General features: G+C 53.5%; 1 protein-coding gene across 9 annotated transcripts in view, besides 1 other annotated feature; it reads left to right on the top strand.

Annotated features, from left to right (window-relative positions):
- ADAMTS10 (ADAM metallopeptidase with thrombospondin type 1 motif 10) overlaps positions 1-18,026 on the top strand; it is a 30,476-nt gene that overhangs the window by 3,938 nt on the left and 8,512 nt on the right. For 4 of the 9 annotated variants that reach the window (XM_017027338.3, XM_047439480.1, NM_030957.4 and 1 more), the window contains 16 exons: positions 969-1,155; positions 1,420-1,766; positions 2,894-3,050; positions 5,633-5,850; positions 9,461-9,544; positions 9,646-9,791; positions 10,193-10,236; positions 10,366-10,471; positions 10,559-10,705; positions 10,875-11,016; positions 13,908-14,015; positions 14,675-14,820; positions 14,915-14,978; positions 16,787-16,889; positions 17,193-17,326; positions 17,413-17,536. In XM_017027338.3, coding sequence (XP_016882827.1) covers positions 1,068-1,155; positions 1,420-1,766; positions 2,894-3,050; positions 5,633-5,850; positions 9,461-9,544; positions 9,646-9,791; positions 10,193-10,236; positions 10,366-10,471; positions 10,559-10,705; positions 10,875-11,016; positions 13,908-14,015; positions 14,675-14,820; positions 14,915-14,978; positions 16,787-16,889; positions 17,193-17,326; positions 17,413-17,536 — 2,158 coding nt within the window. In that variant the 5' untranslated portion in view covers positions 969-1,067. Of the gene's footprint in view, positions 1-968; positions 1,156-1,419; positions 1,767-2,893; positions 3,051-5,632; positions 5,851-9,460; positions 9,545-9,645; positions 9,792-10,192; positions 10,237-10,365; positions 10,472-10,558; positions 10,706-10,874; positions 11,017-13,907; positions 14,016-14,561; positions 14,821-14,914; positions 14,980-16,786; positions 16,890-17,192; positions 17,327-17,412; positions 17,537-18,026 lie in introns of those variants that run through there. The other 5 variants (XR_001753770.2, XM_047439484.1, XM_047439483.1 and 2 more) reach the window with 5 other exon arrangements.
- Positions 14,379-14,977: an enhancer, noted in NCBI's record as "H3K4me1 hESC enhancer chr19:8656685-8657283 (GRCh37/hg19 assembly coordinates)". NCBI's record gives its function as "activates a minimal SCP1, AML or CMV promoter by ChIP-STARR-seq in naive H9 embryonic stem cells {active_cell/tissue: H9 hESC(naive)}" and the evidence as "EXISTENCE:reporter gene assay evidence [ECO:0000049][PMID:30033119]".

Raw genomic sequence — 18,026 nt, 5'->3', positions numbered from 1 at the left:
CGTCCACCCTCCACCGGAGGCTATAACCCAATGAATGAACCCAGGTTCTACCACTTTCTAGCAATGTGACCCACGGCAAACTCTATCACTCCTGAGTCTATTTCCTCATCTATAAAAAGATGAGGGATACGAGTGTGATGCGAGGTCAGGAGTTCAAGACCAGCCTGGCCAACATGGTGAAACCCCATCTCTACTAAAAATACAAAAATGTAGCTGGGCGTGTTGATGCGTGCCTGTAATCCCAGCTACTCAGGAGGCTGAGGCGGGAGAATCAAATGAACCCGGGAGGCGGGGGTTGCAGTGAGCCGCGATTGCGCCATTGCACTCCAGCCTGGGTCACATAGTGAGACTCCATCTCAAAAAAAAGAGCGTGATGACCATGACTTCTCAGTTATTTTGGAAATGAAATACGGTGGGCTGGGTGCAGTGGCTCATGCTTGTAATCCCAGTGCTTTGGGAGGCTGAGGTGAAAGGATCCCTTGAGGCCAGGAGTTCAAGATCAGCCTGGGCAACAAAGTGAGACCCCCGTCTCTCCAAAAAAACAAAAACATTAGCCAGGTGTGGTGGCTTGCACCTGCAATCTCAGCTACTTGGGAGGCTGAAGCAGGAGGATTATTTGAGCCCAGGCAGTGGAGGCTGCAGTGAGCTATGATCACAACACTGCACTCCATCCTAGGTGACAGAGCAACGCCCTGTCTCTTAACAAAAGAACAGAAATGCAGTGGTGTGAAAACTAGGGCCAGTAGCTGGCACATAGGAGATACTCCCAGCGTCCCAGTCCCTGTCTGTCCTCTTGTAGGAGTGTAGGAAGGATTGGAAGGGGAGGTGGGGAGAGGGGAGTGACTGAGTGAGAAAATGCATTCAGAATCTTCAGAGTCAGGTGAAAAGCTTTGGCCATGATTGGCCTTGGCATTGGTTGTGCTGGACAGCGGGACCAGGCGCCCCCTTACCTGGCTCCCCCCTCCCAGGAGCCCGGTGATGCTGCGAAGGCTGTGAACAGGGGAGGCGGCACTGTGGGGGCTGCCGGCAGCCGGGGCTGGGGAGAGACATGTGGACACGTGGCCTCTATGGCTCCCGCCTGCCAGATCCTCCGCTGGGCCCTCGCCCTGGGGCTGGGCCTCATGTTCGAGGTCACGCACGCCTTCCGGTCTCAAGGTAGGGGAAGTCTGGTGGTGGCGGTGGGGAGGGAGCGAAAAATGTAAGAGACCAGTTGGGCTCCAACAGAAAGAGGCATCAGGGGGCTGGGATGGGGGTCAATGGGGGAAGGCCCTGGGGTCAATAGGCGGGAGCCTTGCAGCCAACTCCCTGGATTTCGGGGGTCAGTGAGGCCAGCATCACTTGCTCCAGCAGCCTAACAGCCAGGACACAGGGGTCCAATAAGACCAGGGCCCACCCCAGGCCTCTGACCCTCACCCACAGATGAGTTCCTGTCCAGTCTGGAGAGCTATGAGATCGCCTTCCCCACCCGCGTGGACCACAACGGGGCACTGCTGGCCTTCTCGCCACCTCCTCCCCGGAGGCAGCGCCGCGGCACGGGGGCCACAGCCGAGTCCCGCCTCTTCTACAAAGTGGCCTCGCCCAGCACCCACTTCCTGCTGAACCTGACCCGCAGCTCCCGTCTACTGGCAGGGCACGTCTCCGTGGAGTACTGGACACGGGAGGGCCTGGCCTGGCAGAGGGCGGCCCGGCCCCACTGCCTCTACGCTGGTCACCTGCAGGGCCAGGCCAGCAGCTCCCATGTGGCCATCAGCACCTGTGGAGGCCTGGTGAGCTGAGGATTCTGGAACGCGGGGGGAAATGCCCATAAGTTTGGAAGTTAAGAAAAACACTTCTACATAGAGGGCAGAGAAGGAATGATAGTGGGATGTTTTTTAAGTGTTTTGAGCCAATCAGTGCTTTGGGGATGCAGCTAAAGCAGTACTTAAAGGAAAATGTATAGCCTTAGGTAAGGCTGAAAATTAATGAGCTAAACATCAATCTCAAAAAATTCGAGGCTGGGCATGGTGACTTATGCCTGTAGTCCTGGCATTTTGGGAGGGTGAGGCGGGCAGATCACTTGAGGTCAGGAGTTCGAGACCAGCCTGGCCAACATGGTGAAACCCCATCTCTACTAAAAATACATATAAAAATTAGCCAGGCATGGTGGTATGTGTATGTAATCCTAGCTACTCAGGAGGCTGAGGTGGGAGAATCAGTTGAACTCAGGAGGGGGAGGTCTCAGTGATCTGAGATCACAACACTGCCCTCCAGCATGGGTGACAGAACAAGACCCTGACTCTTTAAATATATATATATATTTTTTATATTTATAAATATATATAATATATAATTATATATGTGTATGTGTATGTATACACATACATACATACTATACACATACACACATATATAATTTTAAAATAAAAAGAAATTAGAGGCTGAGCATGCTGACTCATGCTTTTAATCTTAGCACTTTGGGAGGCCGAGGCAGGAGGATCACTTGAGGCCAGGAATTCGAGACCAGCCTGGGCAACATAGTGGAACCCCATCTCTATGAAAAATAAATTAAAAATTTTAAAAATTAGCCAAACATATTGGTGTGCTCCTATAGTCCCAGATCCTTGGGAGGCTGAGGCAGGAGGATCGCTTGAGCCCAGGAAGTTGAGGATGCAGTGAGCTACGATTGCACCACTGCACTCCAGCCTGGATGACAGAGTAAGACCTTGTCTCCAAAAGAAGAAATAAATAAATAAATAAATAGCATGGACACTAATTACCTATGCCAAAAAAAAAAAAAGAAATAGCAAAATAAACCTGATAAGAATGAAATCATAAAGACAGAGAGAAGGTCCCAGGGGTCCTAAGCTCCAGAACCTGATCCTGAGAGCTTTCTATCCCACTTCTCAAAACCCAGCACGGCCTGATCGTGGCAGACGAGGAAGAGTACCTGATTGAGCCCCTGCACGGTGGGCCCAAGGGTTCTCGGAGCCCGGAGGAAAGTGGACCACATGTGGTGTACAAGCGTTCCTCTCTGCGTCACCCCCACCTGGACACAGCCTGTGGAGTGAGAGGTACATCGGTCTTTCTGGGGATGGGCAGAGGGCTACACAGTATCTTTCCCTTGAGGCAGCAGTGTCTTTTTATCCAGAAAGTCAGCAGGCAGTTATGTGAGGGGAAGAATGGAGCTGCTGAGAAGGGGACACAGTGATATAATTATGGAGTTCCGGCCGGGTGCAGTGGCTCACACCTATAATCCCAGCACCTTGGGAGGCCGAGGTGGGCGGATCACCTGAGGTCAGGAGTTCAAGACCAGCCTGACCAACATGGCGAAACCCCATCTCTACTAAAAATACAAAATTAGCTGGGCGTGGTGGCGCATGCCTGTCATCCCAGCTACTCGGGAGGCTGAGGCAGGAGAATCACTTGAACCCGGGAGGCAGAGGTTGCAGTGAGCAGAGATCACGCCATTGCACCCCAGCCTGGGCGACACAGCAAGACTCCGTCTCAAAAAGAAAAAATAGGGAGTTCTATCCAGGGGACAGCAGAGACATATCCTCAGACGGCGAACCAGTGGAGCTATGGAATAATCTTATCCCTGCTATAGTCACCTAGCCCAGCACTGAGTAAGACAGCCAGAAAGGTGTTCAGGTATAAAACCATTCCTTCTCTAGGATTATCATCTGATCAGACAGTTAGACGGTGTGGTGGTTGTATCAGATACTCCAGCAGTTATACAGCCAAAAGGCCAGATTTACGATCAGACTGGTAGGAGGATGGTTGTACAATCAGGCATTTAAGAAATGAGAGAGAAGGAAAGCTATACACCAACAAAATACTTACCAACACAATCGTACTGCTAGGAAACCAGGTCAGTTCGGGCATGGTGGCTCACACCTGTAATCCTAGCACTTTGTGAAGTTGAGGCGGGAAAATCACTTGAGCCCAGGAGTTTGAGAACAGCATGGGCAACATAGTGAGACACTATCTCAACCAAAAATAGAAAAAATAAGCCAGGTGTGGTGGTGTGCTCCTGTAGTCCCAGCTACTTGAGAGGCTGAGGCAGGAGGATCACTTGAGCCAGGGAGATTGAGGCTCCAATGAGCCTTGATCACACCACTGCACTCCAGCGTGGGCAACAGAGCAAGGTCCTGTTTCAAAATATATATATAGAAAATCAGGGTCAGGCACAGTGTCTCACGCCTGTAATCCCAGCATTTTGGGAGGCCGAGATGGGCAGATCACTTGAGGTCAGGAGATTGAGATCAGCCTGGCCAACATGGCGAAACCCCGTCTTTACTAAAAATACAAAAAAGTTAGCCAGGCGTGGTGGCACACACCTGTAATTCCAGCTACTTGGGAGGCTAAGGCAGGAGAATCGCCTGAACCCGGGAGGTAGAGGTTGCGGTGAGTTGAGATTTCGCCATTGCACTCCAGCCTGGGCGACAGAGTGAGGCTCTGTCTCAAAAAAGAAAATCAGATGAATGTTAGATGGAAAAGCAGAACAGTGTGATATTGAATTAAGTATATAATCAGATACTCTATGAGTAGGATGCTGTGGTAGACATACAGCCACAGTCAGCAGTACAGACAGAAAAAAGGTGGATGACGTACGATGTCACAGTTGGGTGGTCCATGAGACCATCTGGTTGTAGTACATCAGGCAGTATGATTGTTCTAACTGCAATGCAGTTAGAACTAACTGATCTAATTGGGCAGTGCATTGATTGGAAAGTTGCTCAGCTAGAAGGACAACACGTTGTCCAAGCACACAGTTCAAATTGCAAAACAGGCTGGTTCACACCATTCCATTCGGGCAGTGGAATTGTCAGTGGATTGTACAATCATGCTGGTCATCATGGGACAGTGATTCAACCAACCAGCTTAGCTGTGGGACAGTCATGCAAGTGTTCAGTTGGACATTTGGGCAGCGGGGCAGGCTGGTAGCTGAACAGGTTGGCAAACAGGCAGTGGAACAGCCATACAACCAACAGTGGGAGAAGTCAGGCTGTTATTCAACTCAACAGTTTGGCAGAGGGACAGTGACATCATGGTAGACTACAATATTCTCAGGTAGTAGGACACTGACAAAAAAAAGAGATGGTACCGCCAAGATGCCCTATAGACAAAACAATGAGGCAGCCAGGCGCAGTGGCTCAAACCTGTAATCCCAGCACTTTGGGAGGCTGAGACGGGTGGATCACTTGAGGTCAGGAGTTCGAGACCAGCCTGGCCAACATGGTGAAATGCAGTCTCAATTAAAAATACAAAAATTAGCCAGGCATAGTGGCACATGCCTGTCATCCCAGCTACTCGGGAGGCTGAGGCAGGAGAATCGCTTGAACCTGGGAGGCAGAGGTTTCAGTGAGCCAAGATCGCACCACTGCAGTCCAGCCTGGGTGACAGAATGATACTCCGTCTCAAAAAAAAAAAAAAAAAGAATAAGAAAAACGATGAGGTGTTTGGCAGCCCATTGGGCAGACAGACCATCACACAGGTAGCTGGACAACAAGAGAAGGCAGCAGAATGACCAGAAATTGTCTGTCCAGACTGTTGGGTAGAGAGGTAGCCAGTCAGAGGTTGGACAAGACAGTTGTCAGGCAGCTCTGCGTCCCACCAGCAGGGCAGGGCTTAATTGCTCTACTGGGTTCCCCAGATGAGAAACCGTGGAAAGGGCGGCCATGGTGGCTGCGGACCTTGAAGCCACCGCCTGCCAGGCCCCTGGGGAATGAAACAGAGCGTGGCCAGCCAGGCCTGAAGCGATCGGTCAGCCGAGAGCGCTACGTGGAGACCCTGGTGGTGGCTGACAAGATGATGGTGGCCTATCACGGGCGCCGGGATGTGGAGCAGTATGTCCTGGCCATCATGAACATTGTAAGTGCCTTCCCCTCCCTGGGCACGCAGCCCTGAGGACTTGGAGCCAGCCTGCAGTGTTAGGCAAGGGGGTGGCTACCATCCCACCCCAATCCCTGACGTGGGGACAGGGGTAGAAAGGAAGGTTGCAGGCCGGGCGCGGTGGCTCACACCTGTAATCCCAGCACTTCGGGAGGCCAAGGCGGGCAGATCACAAGGTCAGGAGATGGAGACCATCCTGGCTAACACGGTGAAACCCCATCTCTACTAAAAATACAAAAAATTAGCCGAGTGTGGTGGCGGGCGCCTGTAGTCCCAGCTACTCGGGAGGCCGAGGCAGGAGAATGGCGTGAACCTGGGAGGCAGAGCTTGCAGTGAGCCAAGATCACGCCACTGCACTCCAGCCTGGGCGACAGAGCAAGACTCTGTCAAAAAAAAAAAAAAAAAAGAAAAGAAAGAAAAGAAAAGACAGAAAGAAAGAGAAAAGAAAGAAAGAGAGAGGAAGGAAGGAAGGAAGGTAGGTAGGTAGGTTGGTTGCATATGGCAATGAACGAGGAGGAGAAAGAGCATAAGCACAGTGACTAGATGCAGAGGTGCCCTGGGGCAGAGGGAACCTGCTTGGGCTTAAATTTCCGCTCTGCCACTTTTTAACTGTCTGCCTTTGAGCAAGTTACTTCACCTCTCTGCCTTGTCTTACCTATCTGTAAAATGGGCATAATTGTGGTACCTACTTTATAAAGCTAAGGTAGATCCAGTGCATTCATAAAGCATGTAGAACAGTTCTTGGCATGCAGTAGGTGGCATATAAGTGTTTGCTGTGTGTAAAAATACACACAGGCTGGGCACAGTGGCTCATGCCCAAGGTGGGCAGATCACTTGAGGTCAGGAATTCAAGACCAGCCTGGCTAGCATGGTGAAACCCCGTCTCTACTAAAAAATACAAAACATTAGCCGGGCGTGGTGGCGGGCACCTGTAATCCCAGCTACTCAGGAGGCTGAGGCAGGAGAATCGCTTGAACCAGGGAGGTGGAGGTTGTAGTGAGCTGAGATCACGCCACTGTGCTCCAGCCTGGGCAACAGAGCAAGACTCTGTCTCAAAAAAAAATAAAAAAATAAGTACACAGCAGCCTGGGAAACATAGTGAAATCCCGTCTCTACAAAACATTTAAAAATTAGCAGAGCATGGTGGCACATGCCTGTAGTCCCAGCTACTCAGGAAGCTGAGGCAGGAGGATCACTTGAGCCCAGGAGTTTGAGACGCAGTGGGTTATAATCCCTGTCATTCATTCATTCATAAATAAATAAATAAATCGCAGTAGGCTGGGCACGGTGGCTCACACCTGTAATCCCAGCACTTTGGGAGGCCAAGGTGGGTGGATCACCTGAGGTCAGGAGTTCAAGACCAGCCTGGCTAACATGGTGAAACCCCGTCTCTACTAAAAATACAAAAATTAGCTGAGCGTGGTGGTGGGCACCTGTAATCCCAGCTACTTGGGAGGCTGAGACAGGAGAATCGCTTGAACCCGGGAGGCAGAGGTTGCAGTGAGCCAAGATCGCACCATTGCACTCCAGCCTGGGCAACAAGAGGGAAATTCCATCTCAAAATAGATAGATAGATGATAGATAGGTAGCTCACAGGTACTCGTTGAGGTTAGCAGTACACACACAGGCACACATCCGTATTCACGCAGCATTCTTGCACAAGCACCTACTTATAAATTCCTACAGGCTGACCTCCCCAACCCACCTTCAGATATAGTCCATTTCCATCCTAGATCTCAGGCGAGATTCTTGACCTCTCTAAGCCTCAGCGTACCAGTGTATCAAATGGAGATATAATGGTAGCTACCCTAGAGAGTAAGGATTGGTGGAAGGGAAGCCAGGTAGGCTATTTGGCACATAGTAAGGGCTTGATGAATGGTGCTCTTGTTTCACTGAAGCAAAAGGGAAAACAAAAAGTTTAGCAGACAGGCAGAGGGTCCAAAATGTTGTGTAGTGTCGTCTCTGATGGCCCTCAGTTGTGCCTGAGCCTGGCCTCTCTCCCTAGGGCTTTCAGAATTTCCTGGGGGTTTCCAGCCCGGTGCAGTGGCTCACGCCTGTAATCCCAACACTTTGGGAGGCCGAGGCGGGTGGATCACCTGAGGTCGGGAGTTCGAAACAAGCCTGGCCAACATGGTGAAATCCTGTCCCTACTAAAAATACAAAAATCAGCTGGGCGTGGTGGCGGGCACCTGTAGTCCCAGCTACTCCGGAGGCTGAGGCTGGAGAATCGCTTGAACCCGGGAGGTGGAGGTGAGTGAGCCAAGATTGCGCCACTGCACTCCAGCCTGGGTAACAGAGTGAGACTCCATCTCCAAAAAAAAAAAAAAAAAAAAAAAAAAAATTCTGGGGATTTCCAGACGGGGAAATGATTACCCAGGGTTCCAAGATCCCTGCACAGCCTGGCCTCTGTCTTCTGTGCCAGCTCATCCCTGGGGCTGCTTCCTCCTTTCCTCTGACCACTGTCTCCAGAGCCTCCTGCCCTCACAGTTTTACTTTCCTGTGGTGATGGGCAAATTGGTACCTTCAGACAGCTGTGGAATGAACTCAGACATGTATATCCCTCAGGTCGCCTCTGGACAAAGATGCTTGAGGCAGTCAGGGGGGTAAGCAGGGGTTGGGGGACAAGTAGATAAGCTGAGCTTGGAGGAGTCTGAAAGAAATGTTCTGGTAAGCAATCCAGACTTGAGTCTCACTTCTGACACCTACCAGCTGTGTCCTAACCTCTGTTTGCATGTCTCCTCATCTGTAAATTGGGGATGATAATAGCACCTGTTGATGAAAAGACTGATGCATGGCCAGGCATGGTGGCTCACACCTGTGATCCCAGCACTGTGCCAGGCCAGGACAGGAGGATCGCTTGAGGTCAGGAGTTCAAGACCAGCCTGGCCAACATGGTGAAACCCAGTCTCTACTAAACATACAAAAATTAGGCGGGCATGGCTGGGCACGGTGGCTCACGCCTGTAATCCCAGCTACTCGGGAGGCTGAGGCAGGAGAATCGCTTGAACCCAGGAGGCGGAGGTTGCAGTGAGCTGAGATCACACCATTGTACTCCACCCTAGACAAAAAGAGCAAAACTCTGTCTCAAAAAAAAAAAAATTAAGTGGGCATAGTGATGTGCGCCTATAGTCTCAGCTACTTGGGAGGCTGAAGCAGTAGAATCATTTGAACCTGGGAAGTGGAGGTTACAGTGAGCTGAGATTGCACCGCAGCACTGCAGCCTGGGCAACAGAGCGAGACTCCATCTCAAAAAACAACAACAACAAATAGTAACAACAGCAAATATTACCTATTCATGAAAAGACTGATACATGGCTGGGCATGGTGGCTCACACCTGTAATCCCAGCCCTATGGGAGGCCAGGCAGGAGGATCACTTGAGGTCAGGAGTTCAAGACCAGCCTGAGCAACATACCAAGACCCCCATCTTTAACAACAACAGCAACAAAAAACCCTAATAGCAGGTTTAGCCTAAGACCCGACACACAGTAGGTGCCTGATGAAAGCAAGCTGTTATCATTGTTTTTGCTTTTCATTTTCTACCCTGGGCTCCTCTTAAGACTCGGTCTCTCTTGTTTCTTGGAGGTCAGGTTGCCAAACTTTTCCAGGACTCGAGTCTGGGAAGCACCGTTAACATCCTCGTAACTCGCCTCATCCTGCTCACGGAGGACCAGGTGCGGGGGACTTCCTCCCCTTCCCCTTCCCCTTCATACCAGCATGTCCTGCCGTCCCCTGGGTGGTGGGTGCCCATGCATTTCCCTCTGTCCATCCCCAGCCCACTCTGGAGATCACCCACCATGCCGGGAAGTCCCTGGACAGCTTCTGTAAGTGGCAGAAATCCATCGTGAACCACAGCGGCCATGGCAATGCCATTCCAGAGAACGGTGTGGCTAACCATGACACAGCAGTGCTCATCACACGGTGAGGGGACAGGAGAGGTCTAGGACTGGGGCTGAGAAAACAGATGGTCCAGGGAACCATGAGAGTCCAAACAGAGATCACTTCTGCTAGGGTCAGGAGGAGCAGAGAAGTTTGGGCTGCCCATGAGGGAGCCAGGGATGGGGAGGGGCTGCTTGAGAATAATGGGTAAGGGAGGTTTGGGACCATTTGGGCACCGATGCCCTCATTCACTTATTCTCCCACTCATGCATGCATGCATGCATTCATTCATTCATGTGGTCAGTCACTCCTGTATGCAGCTTCAGGTGAGAGGCAGATGGCGCCTCCAAGGCAGGACTCAACCCCCAGAGCTGGGCATGGTGGCATCAGCAGGGCTTAGGGAGACAGCCCAGCCCCCTCACTGACCCTGTCTCCTTTTACAGCTATGACATCTGCATCTACAAGAACAAACCCTGCGGCACACTAGGTACCCGAGCCCCGTAGGTTTCAGGCGCCTATGAAGGCAGTGGGCTGGGGTGAGACCTGGCAGGTGGATGGGGCCAGCCAGCACCGTCCTGAGCCTCCCAGCCCCATCCCCACATGTCCGTCTTCCCAGGCCTGGCCCCGGTGGGCGGAATGTGTGAGCGCGAGAGAAGCTGCAGCGTCAATGAGGACATTGGCCTGGCCACAGCGTTCACCATTGCCCACGAGATCGGGCACACGTGAGGCCAGGGCACACAAGAGGGGGAGGAGGGGAGGAGCTGGGCGGGTCCCTCAGCGCCCGGCAGAGCCGACACCCCTTTCCCCAGATTCGGCATGAACCATGACGGCGTGGGAAACAGCTGTGGGGCCCGTGGTCAGGACCCAGCCAAGCTCATGGCTGCCCACATTACCATGAAGACCAACCCATTCGTGTGGTCATCCTGCAGCCGTGACTACATCACCAGCTTTCTAGAGTGAGGATGCACCTGGGTGTCCCTCAGAGCGGGTCACACTCATGGTGGGGCAGGGTACACGGGAGACGATAGAAATCAGGGATGCTCCCTGGGACCCCCATCCAGCTGAGGCTCCTGAGCTCTTGATTTGCAGCCACCTAGCATGACAGTTGCTTTTCTCTCGAGGCAGCTCGGGCCTGGGGCTCTGCCTGAACAACCGGCCCCCCAGACAGGACTTTGTGTACCCGACAGTGGCACCGGGCCAAGCCTACGATGCAGATGAGCAATGCCGCTTTCAGCATGGAGTCAAATCGCGTCAGTGTAAATACGGGGTAGAGAGAGTCTTCCTGCTTTCCTTCCTGGGAGGGGAGGGGGCCGCTGGGGCTGGGGGAGGGAACTCCACCAGGGCACCCACCTGGGAAGTGAGGGGGTGGGAGAACCGGGAAGGGGGGTGAGGTGAGCCCCCATGGTGACCTGGGAGGACAGAGGTGCATGGAGTGTGCAAAATGTCCTAAGCAATCAGACAGTGCTTGGGAACAAAAATGGGATCACCTGCTTCTCCAGACCCCTGATTTGAGGGCTGGGCTGGGGGGCCAGCTTCTGTCTGGCACATCACACCCCCTGTGGGCTACAGCAGGATCAAAGTCTCAAGACCTCTCACGGGGCAGTTTTTAACTAAACATCCAGTCCTGACGGAAATAATTTCCCTGGGGATGAGCCATCTTTCCTACTTGGCAAAGAACTAGACAGAACCTTCCAGGGACTCCCTGTCTGGAGGAGCTCTGAGCCTCCTGACCTCTCCCCACCCTTTCCTGAGGTTTAGATTCCCAAAGCCCCATTCGTGCATAGAGAAGGGCATTGGGGGGCAGGAGGTTCCACTCCCAGCTCCCCCCAGGAAGCTGAAGACCTGCTGGCTTCCTGCTTCAGCCACCAAGGTTCAGCCAGGATCTGCTCCTCCTCTGCCCACCTGCCTCGATTCCCTAAATGCACCCCTAAGCTCCTCACAGTCTCAGCCCTAGGGGCCCAGGTTCAGCCCCAGTTCTTCACACTATCACAACTCAAACGATCAGAGTTTTTGTGATGCCATGTTAATGCAAAGCAGAGGGCAAGCAGCTGCCAAATTGCCCTCCCTTCATTCCACTGCAAGACAGAGACAAACCCTGGAACAATTTCTATTTCACTGACATTCCACCCTTGACACCCCCCAACATCCTAACTTAGCTGGTAACTGCAGCACCCTCTAAGGAATTCCTAAAGAATTCTGAAGCTACTCCTCAACATCTGCTGTGACCCAGGTATCCTAACAATGATCATGGTGTCTGACATTTACTGAGCTCTCACTATGGGCTAAGCATGTGCTGTGTGTCACCATCTAAACTCCTGACAATCCTGCTAGCCCCCACGTTACAGAGGAAGGGACTGAGCCATAGCATAGGGAGGATGACTTGTCCAAGGCCACAGTTTGAGACCATGACAGAGCTGGGATTTAAATCCAGGTCTCTCATGACTCTCTAAATTTTACAAAGGGGCAGGGGAGGGGAGGAGCTGTCAAAATATCAAGCTTGGGCTGGCACTGGCTATATGTTGAATTGAGCCTTCCTTTTAGTTTTTGAAGGAACATCTTTCAGGCCATCTTGGCAAAGGGGGATTTATTTACTAAATGTGAACTGGTTAATATATGTAAAGGGTTCAGCCTGGTGCCTGGTCCAGAGATAGTGGTGGTCATTGTTACCCCATAATGGCATTGGTGCAAGTCCTTTCTTATCTATCCTGTCACGTGCCTCATAGCCATTTATATAGGCAAGACAGGCATTAGGCTGCCCATCTTGTAGATGAGTAAACTGAGGCCCAGAGAGGGGAAATATATTGCAAGTTGGTAGCAGAATTGAGGTCTCTGCACAACTCAAATATGCCACAGTGCCTCCTTGTGGAGAGGAGGACAAAAGCAGAGCTGAAATCATTATCTTGAAGAGGTGTCAGAAGTGGGATTGCGACAGGACTGATGTGATATTTTTAGATATGGCCAAGAGGACACAGTCTGAGTTTTTAGCTGAGAAATGTCCTCTATAAGGCAGAAGGCAGAGATTCTAGAGGACCTTTGAGGGAGAATGTATTTGAGAACAACTCTTCCAGCTTCTTACATATGTACAGGTATCTCTCAGGGGCTGACCTAGGAAGGGTCCTTTCCTGTGGCCATTGATCGATCCAGTCCCACATCTGGAAAGCTTACAAGAATTGGGTTCAAAGCGGGGATTACACTTGATAATTACAGAAGGACCACCTACTTCTTAGAGGAAAGACGCTGGGAGGTTGCTTAGGATGTGGGCCAAGAGGGTCAGAGAGGACCACCTACTTTTTAGAGGAAAGACGCTGGGAGGTTGCTTAGGATGTGGGCCAAGAGGGTCAGAGATTTTGCTTCACCTGAACTCACTGGGGCTTCTCCAGGGATATTAACCTGGACTTTAAGAGTCAGAGTGAGTCCCTGGGACTAGTTCAGCCCATCCAGGATTCAGACGGGAAGAAGGTGGGGCTGATTTTTCACCTGGAGAAAGAGAGGCATGTCCCACACAGACCTAACTCGGCATTGTCCCCTCCCAAACTCCCACCCCTCCACATAGCTTAAAAGTGTTGGGGGCTTCTCCAGTTTAGATGGGGGAACAAAGAGAACCAACAGCTGGAAAAAACTAGAGATGAGGCCGTTGGCCTAGTCATCATCCAGGCCGATTTCTCAGAACCACCACTTTCTCTTCGGCTACTTTGCCCATCCCATAAAAGAACCCCAAATCCTTCCTGTTCATTCCTCAGCAGTTCCCACGTTTCCTTCCAGAAACTCAGAAGGCACCAGGAACTGAATTGCAAAGTTCGTTAGAGCACAGACTCTGAATTAAAGAGCTGGGTTAAACTCCAGGCTATTCCCTTAGTAGCTGTGTGACCTTACCTGTCTGAAGCTTGGTTTTCTCCCAGTAAGATGGGGTAGTACTGCCTAAAGAGGTATATGGCATGTATAAAGTGCTCCATAAATGGAGCTTATTGGGAGAGTATAAGTCACAGGCCATGCCCCGCAAGGGGATGCACGAAGACCCACCGCGAGCCAGGAAGGGAGCACCGGGCTCTCTGCTCTGGGACCGGCAGTGAGCCGGACATCTGGGTCCTCCCAAGCCGGGCGGGCTGCCCCAGGGAGGAAGGGAGGGGGGCGAGCCTGAGCGGGCACCTCGGCCCGCAGGAGGTCTGCAGCGAGCTGTGGTGTCTGAGCAAGAGCAACCGGTGCATCACCAACAGCATCCCGGCCGCCGAGGGCACGCTGTGCCAGACGCACACCATCGACAAGGGGGTGAGCGCCGGCCAGGGCCCCCAACTGGGCCACGCCCCCTGAGCCACCTCCCGCGTTGGCCACGCCTACCCGCCTGTCCTTCGGCCTATTATCTGCTCCCTCCCACATTGGCCACGCCCGCCATTTGTGCTCCCTCGGCTGTGGCCACGCCTACTGCTTGCTCCTTCCCGCGTTGGCCACGCCCACCGTCTATGCGTCCCTTGGTTCTGGCCACGCCTACTGTTTAACTCCCTCCCGCGTTGGCCACGCCCACCGTGTAATGATTCCCACGGCTCTGGCCACGCCTACTGTTTGCTCTCTCCCTCATTGGCCACGCCCATCCCCTGTGCTGCCCTCGGCTCTGGCCACGCCTACTGCCTGTAGACCTCCCCTCCCCAGCCTGAAGCCACGCCCCACCTCGTCTCCACGCTTATCGTGGTCCTGTCTACACCCCTCCCCGTTAAGCACCCTGTGCTCAGGCCACGCCTCTCGCTTGTACCTGGTCTGTCTCCCAGACCACTCTCCTACGTAACCTGACTCTGTTCGCATGTTCAGACCCCGCCTCTGCCCATCCCGGAGAGGCTGATATCTCTGGCTGGGGCCTGGAGTGGGGAACGGTGCATGGGGCCGACGAGTGTCCTCCGGGCTGGACTCACTCCTTCCTGTCTCCCCCCACCCAGTGGTGCTACAAACGGGTCTGTGTCCCCTTTGGGTCGCGCCCAGAGGGTGTGGACGGAGCCTGGGGGCCGTGGACTCCATGGGGCGACTGCAGCCGGACCTGTGGCGGCGGCGTGTCCTCTTCTAGCCGTCACTGCGACAGCCCCAGGTCAGCCCTCAGGACCCCCACCCGGGAGGGCAGCGCGACCCCTGCCCCCATCGCCCACTGCCTCATCCCTCTCCTATCCCACCACCCTTTCCAGGCCAACCATCGGGGGCAAGTACTGTCTGGGTGAGAGAAGGCGGCACCGCTCCTGCAACACGGATGTGAGTTCCCCCAAACCCCTTGAGGGGTGGGGGGAGGAAGCATTAAAAACAGCTATCAGAGGCCGGGCACCGTGGCTCACGCCTGTAATCCCAACACTTTGGGAGGCCAAGGCAGGCGGATCACGAGGTCAGGAGATCGAGACCATCCTGGCTAACATAGTGAAACCCCGTCTCTACTAAAAATACAAAAATTAGCTGGGCGTGGTGGCAGGCGCCTGTAATCCCAGCTACTCGGGAGGCTGAGGCAGGAGAATCGCTTGAACCCGGGAGGCGGAGGCTGCAGTGAGCCGAGATCGCACCACTGCACTCCAGCCTGGGTGACAGAGCGAAACTCCATCTCAAAAAAAAAAAAAAAAACAAAAACGCTATCAGAGTGCTTCATCCAGGCACCTGCTGCCTCCTGGGGAACCTGCAGCCGCCACCCCTCTCTTCCCTCCTCTCCCTGACCCCCACCACCTTCTCGTCCCCAACCCCTCCTCCTTAAAGACCTGGCTCCTTCCAGCTCTCTTTTCCTCCTACATTTAGACTACAAGCCCCCACCTTGAAATCACTGCTTGGCCCTCACAACCCCCTACCATCCAGTCTCTCCCCTCCCTTTACAGCCCAACTTCCCCTGAAGAGTCCTACCCCTGCCTTCTGTCATCCCCCAAAGTTGTAGCTGAAGCTTCCTCTCACCAAACCCAGTGACAGGTGTCTGTCCTCTGCTTGTGCCCTCAGCTGACCTGCAACCATCAGTGAGCAGTGAGAAGTTTACTGGGGAGGGGGTGTTTTAGAGGGCAGTGAGAGCTTTGGACTTTTCAGCCTCCCAGCTGGGGGGAACCAGGTCTTCAGAGAATCCACATGCTAGCACTTTCTATAAACCCTGATCCCTTCCAGACCTTCTCTCTCAAGAAAGACTCCATGTGGCCAGGTGCAGTGGCTCACACCTATAATCCCAGCACTTTGGGAGGCTGAGGCAGGCAGATCACCTGAGGTCAGGAGTTCGAGACCATCCTGGCCAACATGGCAAAACCCCATCTCTACTAAAAATACAAAAATTAGGCCGGATGAGGTGGCTCATGCCTGCAATCCCAGCACTTTGGGAGGCCGAGGCGGGTCAATCACCTGAGGTCAGGAGTTCGAGACCAGCCTGGCTAACATGGTGAAACCCCGTCTCTACTAAAAATACAAAAAATTAGCCAGGCGTGGTGGCACGCGCCTGTAGTCCCAGCTACTTGGGAGGCTGAGGCAGGAGAATCACTTGAATCCAGGAAGCGGAGGTTGCAGTGAGCCGAGATTGTGTCACTGCACTCCAACTAGGGCAACGAGAGCGAAACTCTGTCTAAAAATAAATAAATAAATAAATAAATAATGCAAAAATTAGCCAGGCATAGTGGCATGCACCTGTAATCCCAGCTACTCGGGAGGCTGAGGCAGAAGAATTGCTTGAACCCAGGAGATGGAGGTTGCAATGAGCTAAGATCATGCACTGTACCCCAGCCTGGGCGACAGAGTGAGATTCTGTCTCAAAAAAGAAAAAAAATGCAAGCAAGCAAGAAAGATTCCATAGCCTGGAACCAGAAACCCAGGTGTGTCCTGCCCAGCTCACCCTCAGACCTCTAATGAGGGATCCAGTCCTATCCCAGATGTGTCTACACGCCCAGCCCAGGCTACCTTCCAGGCCTAGTCTCACGCAGACCACCACAGCCTCCTCCCTGGCCTCCCTGCCTCTAGCCTCCCTCCTCCAGCCCATCTTTCTCTGAGCACCCCTTTTCTGACTCCATCCCCCCAAGCCTGGCCTCCCTCCATCTCTCCTCTCCTGCCCCCAGGACTGTCCCCCTGGCTCCCAGGACTTCAGAGAAGTGCAGTGTTCTGAATTTGACAGCATCCCTTTCCGTGGGAAATTCTACAAGTGGAAAACGTACCGGGGAGGTGAGTGTGGGACTCCAAAGGCTGTGGGGCCGTGAAGGGCAGCCGTGGGAGTGTCCAGCAGCAGGTGGATGAATGCAGCATCCCGGGGTCTGCCCTGAGCCCTGTCCCCACCCGGGGAGACAGAGTACCTGGGATACGGTACCATGGGGGTTCAACGTGACGCTGGGAGCCCCCACTCCCTCTGCCCAAGCTGCCCTTCCTCTTGGGTCTGGGGTCTGTCCCTCTTGGCCTCACTCCCCCAGGGAGCAAGCAAAGAGTTCCGGGGTGGCCTGGCCCGTGGTGTGACGGGGCCGTGCCCCCCAGGGGGCGTGAAGGCCTGCTCGCTCACGTGCCTAGCGGAAGGCTTCAACTTCTACACGGAGAGGGCGGCAGCCGTGGTGGACGGGACACCCTGCCGTCCAGACACGGTGGACATTTGCGTCAGTGGCGAATGCAAGGTGGAGGGGACTCCCAGGGAGGTGGAGAGGGGATGGGGAGCGGGGGTGGGTTAGGGGGTCGCCTCACTCACGCCTTCTCCACGCAGCACGTGGGCTGCGACCGAGTCCTGGGCTCCGACCTGCGGGAGGACAAGTGCCGAGTGTGTGGCGGTGACGGCAGTGCCTGCGAGACCATCGAGGGCGTCTTCAGCCCAGCCTCACCTGGGGCCGGTGAGAGTCTCCAGCTTCCCTCCCACACTCCCTGCATGGGCCAGCTGACTGCAGGTGGAACTGATCCCAGTGCAGTAGCTGAGATCACTAACTCCTCAGACCCCAGGGGCCCCGTGGAGTGTCAGGAGTCCCCAAAAGTCCTGCGGGCTCAGCCAGGTGAAGTGGCTCAAGCCTATAATCCCATCGCTTTTGGAGGCCGAGGCAGGATGATCACTTGAGGCCAGGAGTTTGAGACCAGCCTGGCCAACATGGTGAAACCCTGTTTCTACTAAAAATACAAAAATTAGCTGGGCGTGGTGGCGAGCACCTGTAATCCCAGCTACTCAGGAAGCTGAGGCACGAGAACTGCTTGAACCTGGGAGGTGGAGGTTGCAGTGAGCCGAGATCACACCACTGCACTCCAGTCTGGGCGACAGAGCGAGGCTCTGTCTCAAAAAAAAAAGAGTGTCTCAGGAGACAGGAGCCCGAATCTGTCTCCTCTGCCTCCTGG

This window comes from Homo sapiens, chromosome 19 (genome assembly GCF_000001405.40).
Source record: "Homo sapiens chromosome 19, GRCh38.p14 Primary Assembly".
Taxonomy (NCBI): Eukaryota; Metazoa; Chordata; class Mammalia; order Primates; family Hominidae; genus Homo; species Homo sapiens.
This window is presented reverse-complemented; position numbering and strand designations above follow the sequence as displayed.